This window comes from Homo sapiens, chromosome 6 (genome assembly GCF_000001405.40).
Source record: "Homo sapiens chromosome 6, GRCh38.p14 Primary Assembly".
Taxonomy (NCBI): domain Eukaryota; kingdom Metazoa; phylum Chordata; class Mammalia; order Primates; family Hominidae; genus Homo; species Homo sapiens.
Genome location: NC_000006.12, coordinates 107977194 through 107991102, shown reverse-complemented (window position 1 = coordinate 107991102; position 13909 = coordinate 107977194). Strand labels below are relative to the sequence as shown.

General features: G+C 43.2%; 1 pseudogene, besides 1 other annotated feature; it reads left to right on the top strand.

Moving 5' to 3' along the window:
* Window positions 2007-2713: an enhancer, noted in NCBI's record as "NANOG-H3K27ac hESC enhancer chr6:108309594-108310300 (GRCh37/hg19 assembly coordinates)". NCBI's record gives its function as "activates a minimal SCP1, AML or CMV promoter by ChIP-STARR-seq in primed H9 embryonic stem cells {active_cell/tissue: H9 hESC(primed)}" and the evidence as "EXISTENCE:reporter gene assay evidence [ECO:0000049][PMID:30033119]".
* MTHFD2P3 (methylenetetrahydrofolate dehydrogenase (NADP+ dependent) 2, methenyltetrahydrofolate cyclohydrolase pseudogene 3) lies at window positions 5072-5292 on the top strand (annotated as a pseudogene).

Sequence of the window (13909 nt, the reverse complement as noted above, 5' to 3'; positions counted from 1 at the left end):
TTATACTTATACAATTCATGAATTCGCTCTTCAATCTCAGAACAACCAAGGTCAGAATTGGGGTTGTTGACTGATTATTGGTTGGGATCTGGGACTTAATTGTCTAGTTCAAAGAGATCTACATCAGGCCATGTTGTTGGGGTGATCAGACCCAATACCAGGTTGTGGGGGCGACGAAGTGTGGCGGAGTCAAAGGAATGAGAAAAAGACAGAGAGAGAAAGTGGGACGGGGGGGCCATCGCGAGTGTGGAGGCTGCAAAGGCCCCTAGCTCTGGGAGCCCACGCTATTTATTGGTGATCAAACAAAGAAAGAGTTGGTGAGGATGTGGGGGTTGAAAGGAAACGGTGTATCAAGTGAATGAGAAACATATGGCTACTTGAGATAATGGGAGTGCTAGAAGCAAGGAGCCAGCAAGTCTAGCAGACATGCAAGCCCTACCTCAGCTTTGCTCCCAACACTCAGCTTTTCTCCCAGCACCATGTGAAGGTTATTAGGTGGGGTCCCTCTTTATAATTTGGTCTCCTTTATTTAATCACAGGACTCTTAAGTTCCTGACTTTCAAGTAGATTTTAATCTTTTGAAATTTGGTGTCTGATATATTCTTTAAGTTTTGCATGCAAGGCTGGTTGTACCTCACCCATTGTTCTGGGTCTTTCAATATCTTGGAAACTTACATTTGCTCCATCCATAGCTCATAATTAGGAAGGTCTACTAATGAAGTGGCCTTGTCATCTGGGGTGATACCCAAGGTTCGTTGTCTCACACCGAGGAAATCAAGGACATGGACAGATAAGGAGTGAGGTTAAGAGTGGAAGTTTAATAGATGAAAGAAAGAGAAGAGCTCTTTGCAGCAGAGAGGGGTCCCAGAGAAATGGGTTGCTAGATCTGCAGTGAAATGCAGGGCGTTTTATAGATGAGCTTGAGGAGGCAGTGTCTGACTTACATATGGTGCAAAAGATTGTTTGGACCAGGTAGTGTACCATTTGCATAGGTGTGAAAAACTGGTTAGGGCTAGGTGTGCCATTTGCATATAGCATGAAAAGATGGCCACCCCCACCCTAATCTTTTATTATGCAGATGGGTTATCTGCCTGGCCGATGCCACGATGTCCATTCCTGTACTGTACACATGGTAACAAAAAAGGGAAGATGGAGCCTCCATGTTGGATATGCCTGGCCCCCAGGTAACACCTTTCTATTGGCACAGCTGCCGGTGTTCCCCTGTGCAAACTTCCAGCTTGCTTATCTACATTTGCAGCTTGATTTTTCGGTCTGCTCTTTGTTAGAAAAAAATAATAATTCCTTGGGCTACTTTTTCTTAAAAGGGAACCCTTACTAAGGACTCTTTTGCCCTCACTATCTATCTGCATAAATAATTTATTTCTAGCTCCTGTATCACTAACGATCTTCTTCCTTGAGGAATTTGGGTAATGTGTTGCCTTGGAGCACAGAATTGGCTCCTCTTTTTCACTGGCAACTGCCAAGGACTCCCAGTGCTGACCAGCTCCCAGAGAGCCTTTGACCTGCTTCTATCTGAGCTGCCCCTGGACTGGTAGGGATTTTGCTTTTCTGGCTGAACACCTAATTCTTTAGGGATAATTTGACTCATTACTGTCTATATTTACTCTTTTCTTTTCTTTTTATTTTTTCTGAGACAGGGTCTCGCTCTGTTGCCCAGGCTGGAGTGCAGTGGTGTAATCACAGCTCACTGCAGCCTTAACCTCCCAGGCCTAAGCAATCTTCCCAACTCAGCCTCCCAGGTAGCTGGGACTACAGGCATGTGTCACCACACCCAGATAATTTTTAAAATTTTTGGTAGAAACAGGGTCTCACTATGTTGCCCAGGCTGGTCTCAAACTCCTGGACTCAAGCAATGCTCCCACCTCAGTTTCCCAAAGTGCTGGGATTACAGGTGTAAACCATAGGACCTGGCCATATTTACTGTTTTCTACTTACGTAGTTCAAAACAACAACAACAACAACTAATATCCATACTATAACTTTTACCAAAATCAATAAAAATGAAATCTATTTTATCATATTGTTGATGAAAAGAGTAAAACTCCGTAATATATTTGAAGAGATTTATTCCAAGCCAAATATGAGTGATCATGGTCCATGACACGGCCCTCAGGAGATCCTGAGAACATGTGCCCAAGGTGGTTGGTTTTATACATTTTTGAGCATTTACGTTGGTTCAGTTGGGTCCAGAAAGGTGGGACAACTCAAAACAGCTGGGTCAGGTGAGCTTCCAGGCCATAGATTTAAAAATTTGCTGATTGGCAATTGGTTAAAGAGTTTATCTAAGGACCTGGGATCAAAAGAAAGGAAATGCCTAGGTTAAGACAAGGGGTTGTAGAGACCAAGGTTCTTATTATGGAGATGAGGCTTCCAGGTAGCAGTATTCAGAGAGAAGAGATTGTAAATATTTGTTGATTCTCTCCTGGAAAAAGGGAAAGGGAATTCTCTACAGAAAGGGGATTTCCCCCGACAAGAGATGACTTTGCAGGGCAGTTTCAAGATACGGCAAGGAAATATATTTGGAGTGAAAATATTTTGATTTTCTTCCTTATTTGTTATGCGATGTTATGCCAGAGTCAAGTTGGAAAGTGAGCCACGTTATATAGGGTTAAATAAAGCCCCTCTGATGAGACTTTATGGTTTGTAGGATGTGACTCCTCAGGCCCCTTAGGTAGGAATTTGGGCAAGAAAAGAAAAAAGTCAAAGTTTAGTCCTCAATATTCACCCTTTTTATTTATTACAACTATCTGTTGCTATTTAAAAGAGTGTTTCTCCTTTGATTATGGTTATAAACTCATTGCTATCCAGGTTCAGCTAGTTCAAAATAACTGTCATATTATTACTTACTACTACTATTACTACTACTAAAGATATCTAAAATTGATATTGTTATTTTCTAATGCTCACATTATCACAGGCTGGCCAATGGGAGCCCTTTTGGTTGGCTTCCTTTCCTTTCAGTATTGCCTTTGACATCCTTGTGTCAGAGATATTTGAATCAGAGCAACTCCATCTTGAACAGGGGCTGGGTAGAATAAGGCTGAGGCCTACTGCGCCGCATTCCCAGACAGTTAGGCATTCTAAGTCATAAGATGAGATAGGAGGTCAGCACAAGATAAGATCAGAAAGATCTTACTGATAAAATAGGTTGCAATAAAGAAGCCCGCTAAAACCCACCAAAACCAAGATGGCAATGACAGTGACCTCTGGTTGTTCTTGCTGCTCATTATATGCTAATTATAATGCATTAGCATGTTTAAAGACAGTCCCACCAGCACGATGAAAGTTTACAAATGACATGGCAACGTCAGGAAGTTACCCTATGTGGTCTAAAAACGGGAGGCATGAATAATCCACCCCTTGTTTAGCATATCATCAAGAAATAACCATAAAAATGGGCAACCTGCAACCCTCAGGGCTGCTGTGCCTATGGAGTAGCCATTCTTTTATTCCTTAACTTTCTTAATAAACTTGCTTTCACTTGATTGTATGGACTCACCCCAAATACTTTCTTTCGCAAGATCCAAGAACCCTCTCTTGGAGTCTGGATCCAGACCCCTTTCCAGTAACATTTGTTTCCTGCAAATAATAGGATATACCAAACAGGTGTAGAGTTCTTTTATGGAAGACACCTTGGTTCTGTTTAATGGAGAATACTTTTAGAGAACAAAATCTGGGTGTTAGGAGTGCATAAAAATGTTGGTGGGAAGGTAAGAGGAGTGCCACAGGGGGGTCACTTTCAATGACAGAGCTGGGAAGATATTTCCTTTATATATGATGAGTTCACCTTAATTTTTTTACAATTTAATAATCTATGTCTATATTTTACTTTTCTTATTATTGGTGGTTTCATTGACCCAGGGCACCTATGTAAATCTGAGGGATGCTATTTACATTGTAGATTTGAATATTTATCATGAAAAATGTCTGGTAGGCCACGTGAAGTGGCTCACGCCTGTAATCCCAGCACTTTGGGAGGCTGAGGTGGGCGGATCACCTGAGGTCACGAGTTTGAGACCAGCCCAGCCAACATGGTGAAACCCTGTCTTTACTAAAAATACAAAATTAGTCGAGCATGATGGTGCATGCCTGTAATCCCAGCAACTCGGGAGGCTGAGGCAAGAGAATAAATTGAACCCCGGGGGTACAGGTTGCAGTGAGCTGAGATTGAGCCATTATACTCCAGCTTGGGCAACAAGAGCAAAACTCTGTCTCAAAAAAATAAAAAGTCTGGTAGATGGCAATAATGTTTCTTGTTCTTTTTTTCTTTTTCTTTTCTTTTTTTTTTTCTGAGACAGGGTCTTGCTCTGTTGTCCAGGCTGGAGTGCAGTGGCATGATCTCTGCTTACAGCAACCTCCGCCTCCTGGGTTCAAGTGATTCTCAGCTTCCCAAGTAGCTGGGGTTACGGGTATGCGCCACCATGCCCGGCTAATTTTTAATTTTTTTTTGGTAGAGACGAGGTTTTGCCATGTTGGCCAGGCTGGTCTCGAACTCCTGACCTCAGGTGATCCACCCACCTTGGCCTCCCAAAGTGCTGGGATTACAGGTGTGAGCTACTGTGCCTAGCCAACGTTTCTTGTTTTAATAAAATCAGATGTTTATGACAGTTTTCCAATAGATACAAAAAGATGTCTTAAGGAGGGGACACTTCTTTCTTTCTTTTTAAATTGAAAAGGGGTCTCATTAAGTTTCCCAGGCCGGTCTTGAACTCCGGAGCTCAAGTGATTCTCCTGCCTCAGCATCTCCAAGTCCTGGGATTATAGGCATGAGCCACTGTGCCTGGCCCGAGGGACACTTTTTTCTAATTTGCCCATAGACAGTCCTACATCGGCCACCATGACTTTCTACTGCACTGACAGGAAATAGAAATGGAAAGTAGAGAACTGAAAAGAATAATGGCTAATTAGTCCTTACATGGTAACTCTTAAACAACATATGTCTGAAGAATTTTTGGCAAGTGCTGAATTCTACTGAGTTCATAACTGAATTTTCTGGTGATTGCTGTTGATTAAAGTGTGACCTGGCCCGTCGTGGTCACCGGCGCGGGCTATGGCTGCGACTTCCCTCATGTCCGTGTTGGCTGCCTGGCTGCTGCAGCCTGCACATAGCTGCTCCCTTCCACCTCGCGGCAGTTCAAAATGAAGCTGTTGTCATTTCTGGAAGGAAACTAGCCCAGCAGATCAAGCAGAAAGTGCGGCAGGAGGTGGAAGAGTGGGTGGCCTCAGGCAACAAACCTGAGCATGATCCTGGTTGGCGAGAATCCTGCAAGTCCAAAACTCTTTAAGAACACGACAAAACCTTCCAGTGTGGATATCCTGGGAGGTCACTCTCCCCAGGCGCTGTCCACGTGGCATGGGGGAGCACAGGACTCTGCTCATAATATACAGGAGAGTCACAAAGGCAAAGAAAATGAGGAACAGAATAATCAAGAATGACATTAAGAAGCTTCAAAAAAGGCCAGGATCGGTGGCGCACACCCATAATCCCAGCACTTTGGGAGGCCGAGGTAGGTGGATCACTTGAGATCAGGAGTTCGAGACCAGCCTGGCCAACATGGCAAAACTCCATCTCTGCTGAAAATATAAAAATTAGCTGGGTTTGGTGGCATGCACCTGTAGTCCCAGCTACTCAGGAGGCTGAGGCAGGAGAATTGCTTGAACCCGAGAGACGGAGGTTGCAGTGAGCCGAGATTGTGCCACTGCACTCCAGCCTGGGTGACAGAGTGAAACCCTGTCTCAAAAAAAAAAAAAAAAAAAAAAAAAAGAACATGAAGCTTCAAAAGGCAGGTCTCTTGAAACCTTCTCCCCCAAAAGTACCTGCTGCTATAGTTCCAGCAAAAAAGATGACTTCTTGCAGGCAAGAAGGCTCCAGCCCAGAAGGTTCCTGCCCAGAAAGCCACAGGCTAGAGGCAGTGCCTCCTCTGAAAGCTCAGAAGTTTCAAAAGCAACGTGCCCAGAAAGCATGTTGTCCAAAAGCATCTGGCAAGAAAGCGTTAAGAGGCTATTATAAAAGTAGTAAAGGTTCTTTTTGACATGTTGGAAAAAGAGAGAGAGAGAGACTGAGACTGCAAAATCTGGCATCCAACAAAATAAAATTCACAATGTCTGGCAACCAATACAAATTAGCAGGCATGCAAAGAAGCAGAAAAATAGAACTAACACCCAGGAGAAACACTAACCAATAGAAACAGATCCATAAGTGACAGAGATAATGGATTAAGTAGACAAGGAACTTAAAATAGCTATTATAAATTTTAAAAATATTTTCAAGTATGGAAAGGAAAACATGAGCATGATAAGAAAGGAAAGGAAAGATCATGTTTTTTGTTTTTGTTTTTAAGACAGTTCTCACTCTGTTGCCCAGGCTGAAGTGCAGTGTGTAATCATGGCTCACTGAAGCCTCAACCTCCCAGACTCAACCCATCCTCCCATCTCAGCCGCCCGAGTTCTGGGACTATACAGGTGTATGCCACCACGCCCGGCTAATTTTTTTGTTTTCTTGTAGAGACAAGGTCTCCTTATGTTGCCCAGTCTAATCTCTAACTCCTGGGCTCAAGTGATCCTCCTGCCTCAGCTTCCCAAAGTGCTGGCATTACAGGCATGAGCATGCCTAGCCTAATATATATATACACATATATACAAGTATACATATATACGTGTGTGTATATATATATATATAGTTGTTATTGTTTTAAATACTAGAGACTTGGATTTTAATACTGATACTTCCACAGGCTGGCTGTGTGACCCTAAACAATACCTCTTCCCTCCCTGGGCTGATGACATCTGTTCTTATACTCTTGCCTTCCTTCTCTTCTCTCAATCTTTTTCTCATCCCCTAAGTTCTATATCCTAAATATCTCTTGAATCCATCACATGTATCTATCTCAGTTTCCCAATCACCTCTCCCCTAAACTATGACAACATGTCTCCCAGGTAGATTCCCATCCTAACCTCCGGCAATACATTTCCTCCACAACATAGCTGGAGGGATTTTGTTAAAATGAAACATGAATCGTTCATCTTTTATGGCCCTTCACGGCCCTTAGGATAAAGTCCACAACCCATATTGCAAAATAAAGGCCTTTCTCGGTCTGCTCCCCCTTTGCTTGCCCCCTTGAGCCTCTCCTGGAGTCATTCTTCCCTTCCCTTGTGGCTACCCCTGCCTTTTTATCTTGAGGCTCCCTGCCTGTAACATTTCCCCAATGACTTCTTACTCAGTTGAGATCTGATTCTTTTTTTTTTTTTTTTTTTTTTTTTTTTTTTGAGATGGAGTCTCACTCTATTGCCCAGGCTGGAGTGCAGTGGCACAATCTCGGCTCACTGCAACCTCCACCTCCTGGGTTCAAGCAATTCTCCTGCCTCAGCCTCCCGAGTAGCTGGGATTACAGGCGCCCGCCACCATGCCCAGCTAATTTTGTATTTTTAGTAGAGATGGGGTTTCACCACGTTGGCCAAGCTGATCTCGAACTCCTGATCTCTAATGATCTACCCACCTCAGCCTCCCAAAGTGCTGGGATTACAGGCATGAGCCACCGAGCCCAGCCTGATTCTGTTTTTTTTTTTGTTGTTTTTTGTTTTTTGTTTTTTGAGACAGTCTCACTCTGTTGCCCAGGCTGGAGTGCAGTGATGCAATCTTAGCTCACTGCAACTTCCACCTCCCGGGTTCAAGTGATTCTCCTGCGTCAGCCTACCAAGTAGCTGGGACTATAGGTGCGTGCCACTATGCCCAGCTAATTTTTGTATTTTTAGTAGAGGTGGGGTTTCACTATGTTGGTCCGGCTGGTCTCAAACTCCTGACCTCAAATGATCTATCCACCTCGACCTCCCCAAGTGCTGGGATTACAGGAGTGAGCCACTACCCTCGCTCCTGATTCTTTTTTAAGTGCCCAGTTTAAACACCACTTTCTCAAGGAAGACTTCCCTGACCCCCGTGTCCCTCCCCATGACTCAGTGAGGTGCTGCTCCTGCTATGTGCTCCCACATTTCTCTGATTTAATGGTCACAGAACTTCAATCCTACAATATTAACAAAGCTTAATTGTCTCCCCTGATCTTAGCCTCTGTGCCCCACGATATCCAGTGTCCAACCCAGTGCCCGGTTCTAAGAATGAATGAATGTTTATCCCACATAACATATTCGAGCTCTGCTCCTTCTACCCCATCCCCAGAATCCTGTTCTAGGCCACGTCCCCTCACACCTGGTTTGTGAAACAGCCTCAGATCAGCACCCCCAGCCTGAGGATCTCCTTCATCTAATCCACTCTGCTCACAGCAGCCAGAACAGCAAGAACCGTTGTCCTCAAGCATCATTTTGATCATATCACTCCCCTTCTTAGCAGCCTGCAATAGCTCCAATTGCCTCTTGAATTAAATTAAAACTCCTAATCACAGGCTTCAAGGGTCTCTACCAATTAGCTACCTCCCTTCCCCCACACCTAACTGCTGTCATCTTTTCACAGGCCCTCAAGCATGGCTTCCCTGCTGCCCTGCAAATCTGCTCCTAAGCCTGCCCCAATGGCACTCTCTCCTACCTTTTCAGCTTTCTCCCCTCTTTCTTTCTTTCTCCTAAATGATATCCCTTCCCCCACCTTAAAAATATCGCTCAATAATCATTTCCTTCATGAATACCTCCTAAGTCAACTCCATGTGGTTTTGTCCTGTCTATCACAACCTGTTATTAATCAAGCGCGTAGAGTATTTCTGCTTATTCATGTGCTGTGAGTGTCCTGTGCCCTGTGGCCGCTGCTAACTTACTGTTTGTACCATCTGCCCTCTTAGGGTCCAACAACTTCAAGGACAAGAATGATGTATTTTCATCACTTGTGACTTCCGGTGAGAGACCTGAAAATAGGAATTTCCAAACAAATCTGTTTTCCCTCAGGTTTCCTAGACCAGATTTCGGGTCGGTCTGACCAGGTGCAGCCCCATCCTAGCAGCAGATTGCTTGTTCTCAGCATTCCCATCATGGAGAATCTTAGTGTGGTGGTGAGGAAGAGGGACAATAACACTCCTGAGTGCTCACCTATGCCAGACACTGTGCGAGGAGCTTTACATGCGGCATTTCACTGATACCTCCCAGCAATCTGATGAATTAGAAATTATCATTCCTGATTTTAAATCGCATTAGGAGTCCAGGAGAATTTGTATCATCTGTCCTTGTCATTCAACAGGTTTTTCTGGCTCTAAAAAACATGCTTCTCTTCCTACATCAGGGAAGACATGCTTCTTTCTTTCTTTTTTTTTTTTTTTTTTAGTAGAGATGAGGTTTCACTATGTTGTCCAGGCTGGTCTCAACTCGTGAGCTCAAGCAATCCTCCTGCCTCTGCCTCCCAAAGTGCTGGGATTATAGTCGTGAACCACTGCACCCAGCCAGGGAGGACGTGTTTCTGAACAAGTGGTCCTTCTGGCAGAATGTCCCAAATATAAACCAAAATCGTGACAGGTGTTTTGACAACGGTGCATAGGCCACTTTAAGTCAGTGGTCACTATGCCTGTGCCACAAGCTTTGCTGCCTGTTTGCTTGTCTAGTCCTTGTGAGATAAGACTCTTTTATAAGTGATTACTTTTAAAATTTTAGTTGAAGATTCCCTTAAGCATTTGATGAAAGCCATTGAATCTCTCCCCCCAAAAGTACATAAACACACGAAATTTATGAACAATACCAGGGTGCTTGCAGAAACAACACTTCTTCCTTAACTTCTATCTATCTATCTATCAACTTCTCTGGATCTGTGTCTGGAGCCCCTGGTTTACAGCTCCTGGTTTATATGTTCTCCTTACACCTTTTCGATGTTACAGAATCCAGAACATATCACAAGCAAACTTTTGAGGACTCTATCAATATTAGCTATGTTTTAAAAGATGGGCTGCATCAGTCTTGAGTTATTTAAAGATGCAAAGATTAGCTTAAAAATGGAAACCTCGCCAGGTGAGTGGCTCACATCTGTAATTCCAGCACTTTGGGAGGCTGAAGTGGGAGGAGAGCCTGAGCCCAGGAGTTTAAAACCAGCCTGGGCAACATAGTGAGACCCCATCTCTACAAAAATAAAAAAAATTAGCTGGGGGTGATGGCATGAGCCTGTAGTACCAGCTACTCGGGAGGCTGAGGCAGGAGAATCACTTGAACCCGCGAGGTGGAGGTTGCAGTGAGCCGAGATTGTGCCACTGCACTCCAGCCTGGGCGACAGAGGAGACACCGTCTCAAAAAAATAAATAAAATAAAATAAAAGACCTAAGAGAAAACCTAGAGTCTGAAAAGACATTAGAGAAAGGGCTTCTTGAGAAAATAAATTTAATGATTCTTTCTTCTGGTTGTGCCCTTATTAATCTTTGGTCCCTGCTGTTGGTTTTAATCCCAACACCTTTATCCAGATTGGCCTTCATCCTGATTGCAGATAACACTATTATCCTGTTTCAGCTTAACTTTTGGAAGCACAGCAGCAGAGGCTGCTCTATTTATAAGATGAAGCTCCTTTTCAAACAACAGTCACTTCATTTTCCTGGAAAACTCTTCCCTTTGTAGTTAAGAAGAAAGAAAAAAAGAAAAAACAGGGAGGCTGTTTGAGGCTGAAGAGTGACCTCTCTCGGTGGAGAGGTGGAAGAGGTTCCTTATCAGGCCAGTTTCAACTGGGACAGGAAAGAGACCAAGCATCCATAGGTCCAGAGTGTCTGTGAACCCTCTTAAGTTGTAGGTAAAATTTGGGGATGTGAAATGTGCATTTATCTAGAAAATGGTCTAGAGCTTTCATCAGGTTCTCAAAGAATTCTTTGTTCTTTAAGGTCCACAGGGTTGGGCCTGTGCTTTCTCAAAGTGTTTGAGGTCAGAAGAGTGCCTGCAGCACAATCACTGGAGAGCTTGTTAAAAACTCAGATTCCTGGCCAGGCACGGTGGCTCATGCCTGTAATCCCAGCACTTTGGGAGGCCGACACGAGCAGATAGCTTGAGGTCAGGAGTTTGAGACAAGCCCAGCCAACAAACAGTGAAGCCCTGTCTCTACTAAAAATATAAAAATTGGGCATAGTGCTGCATGCCTATAATCCCCGCTACTCAGGAGGCTGAGGCAGGAGAATCGCTTAAACCCGGAAGACGGAGGTTGCAGTGAGCCAGGATTGCCCCACTGCACTCCAGCCTGGGAAACAAAGTGAGACTCTTGTCTCAAAAAAATAAATAAATAAAAATAAACAAATAAACAAAAACACACCTCAGATTCCTAGGCCCCACACCAGATTTTCTGAATTAGTATCTCTAGGGATATGGTCTGGGACTCTAAATTTTTAACAGTTTCCCAGGTGATTTGGTTAAATTTCTGCATTAACTAGGAAGTTCCAAGTGTTTAACACCATTTGTTAGAATAAGATCAACAATTAATTATAGTGCAGGGAAGTGCTTACATTTACCCAAATAGGCCTGGTTCCAATCTCAGCTCATGTAACCTTGGCAAACTATGAATCTCACTGCTCCTTAATTGCCTAATCTATATATATGGGCTAAATAATTTGTCTGTCTTAAGATAATATTGCCTAATACATAGCAGAAGTCCAAAAATATTATTTATTGTTCATAACTTCTCTTAAATACTGGACATTCCCCACACTCTCCAGGTACAATGTTTGTTTGTTTTTTAAAGTGTTTTATGAGGCTTTTTTCTGGTAAAGGTATCGTCAAACAAAACAAAATGAAACAAGACAGGTTAATCATCTTCTACAATGAAGTACCAGCCATATTTCAAGGGGTTTTGTTATGCCATCAAATATATTTGAGCTGTAAACTATAAACTGAAATTCTCTTTGTTTCAACCTAACAGAAAAATTAGCAGTATTAGCATTCTGTAGGCTTGACCACACTGCAACTCTCCCTGGAAACTCAGAGCAATTTTAGCAAATGGAAAGCATAGATACCAGTATTCGTCAACAAGGACAAAGTCTTCTATTACCCTATTGAGAGTGTTTGATTTAATTGAACACCTACTCTCTAACACGTCTTCAGAAGCAAAGTGCAAAAAAAGAGAAAAGGGCCAGGGGCGGCGGCTCATACCTGTAATCCCAGCACTTTGGGAGGCCGAGGCAGGCGGATCACGAGGTCAGGAGATCGAGACCATCCTGGCTAACACGGTGAAACCCCATCTCTACTAAAAATACAAAAAATTAGCCGGGCGCGGTGGCGGGCGCCTGTAGTCCCAGCTACTCGGGAGGCTGAGGCAGGAGAATGGCGTGAACCTGGGAGGTAGAGGTTGCAGTGAGCGAAGATAGCGCCACTGCAGTCCGGCCTGGGCGAAAGAGCGAGACTCCGTCTCAAAAAAAAAAAAAAAAAAATATTAGCCTGGCGTGGTGGCACATGCCTGTAATCCCAGCTACTTGGGAGGTTGAGGCAGGAGAATTGCTTGAACCCAGGAGGCGGAGGTTGTGGTGAGCCAAGATCGTGCCATTGCACTCCAGCCTGGGCAACAAAAGCGAAACTCTGTCTCAAAAAAAAAAAAAAGAAAAGAAATTCCTATTTTTGTAAAACCAGTTGTAAAATTCGTTTTTCTTAAAGTTGTAAAATTGCTGTGAACTCCCTTTCCCCATCCCCATGTACATGTACTGGAATGTTATCAGCAAATTCCTTCCCTCTGATAATTTTGCAGCTCTATTCTGCCAGAACTATAAGTTTTCTACCATTGGAAAAGCATTTACACAAATGTTCATTTTTTTACATACCAAAGAAAATGTACCTTGGCTCAAGATGTAAGCAGGAAATCAAAAGGAAATATAATACCTAAATAAAAACAAATTCTACTAATTCATTTTTACATAGAATAACTAAAGTTTCCATTTGTCTTTGTTTTTGTTGTTTTAATTTTTTAAAATTACAGATGGGGTCTTGCTTCGTTGTTCAGGCTGTTCTTGAACTTCTGGGCTCCAGGAATCCTCCCACCTTGGCTTCCCAAAGTGCTAGAATTACAGGTGTGAGCCACCACACCAGGCCTAAGTTTCCGCTAGATTACCTAAAGGATCTTATAATTTGTTTCGGTGACTTTTTTGAGGTTAGACATTAATTCTAGTCACTGGTAGAAGATGTGTTTGGGGCATGAGAAACTGGCTCTGAGAAGAGCCGATATTCAAGAGGTAGAATACAGTGGTCTGCTTACCTTAAATTTATCATCTTATGATTCCTAAAAAAAAAAAAAAAAAAAAAAATGGAGGCCAGGTGTGGTGGCTCACGCCTATAATCCCAGCACTTTGGGAGGCCGAGGCGGGGAGATCACCTGAGGTCAGGAGTTCAAGGCCAGCCTGGCAAACATGGGAAACCCCATCTCTACTAAAAATACAAAAAACGAAAAAACAAAAGACCTAACTGGGTGTGATGGTGGGTGGCGCCTGTAATCCCAGCTACTTGGGAGGTGGAGGTTGCAGTGAGCTGAGATTGAGCCACTGCACTTCAGCCTGGGCCACAGAGTGAGATTCCTCACCCCTGCAAAAAAAAAAAAAAAAAAAAATTGTTGTTGTTATAGAGATGAGGTCTTGCTATATTGCCCAGGCTGGTCTCAAACTCCTGGCTTCAAGCAATCCTCCTGCTTTAGCCTCCCAAAGTGCTGGGATTACTTTGGTGTGAGCCACCGTGCCCAGCTCATCTTATGATTCTTAAATCTATTTACCAAAATCTTCCTAAATAGGATAAACTCAGATTTTTGTATTCCTTGATTGCCATCTGCTGGTGGTCCTCCATACTAGAAAATAAAAATTCCTGGGAAGACAGCAACAACCTGGTAATTGCTTGATTTAAGTAGTTCTTGAAAACTTGGAGAGAATATTTCTTTAAACATTTTTTTCTGTTTATTTTGAGACCAGGTTATGAGACTGGCTAATTTTTATATTTTTGGTACAGATGGGGTTTTGCCATGTTGCCC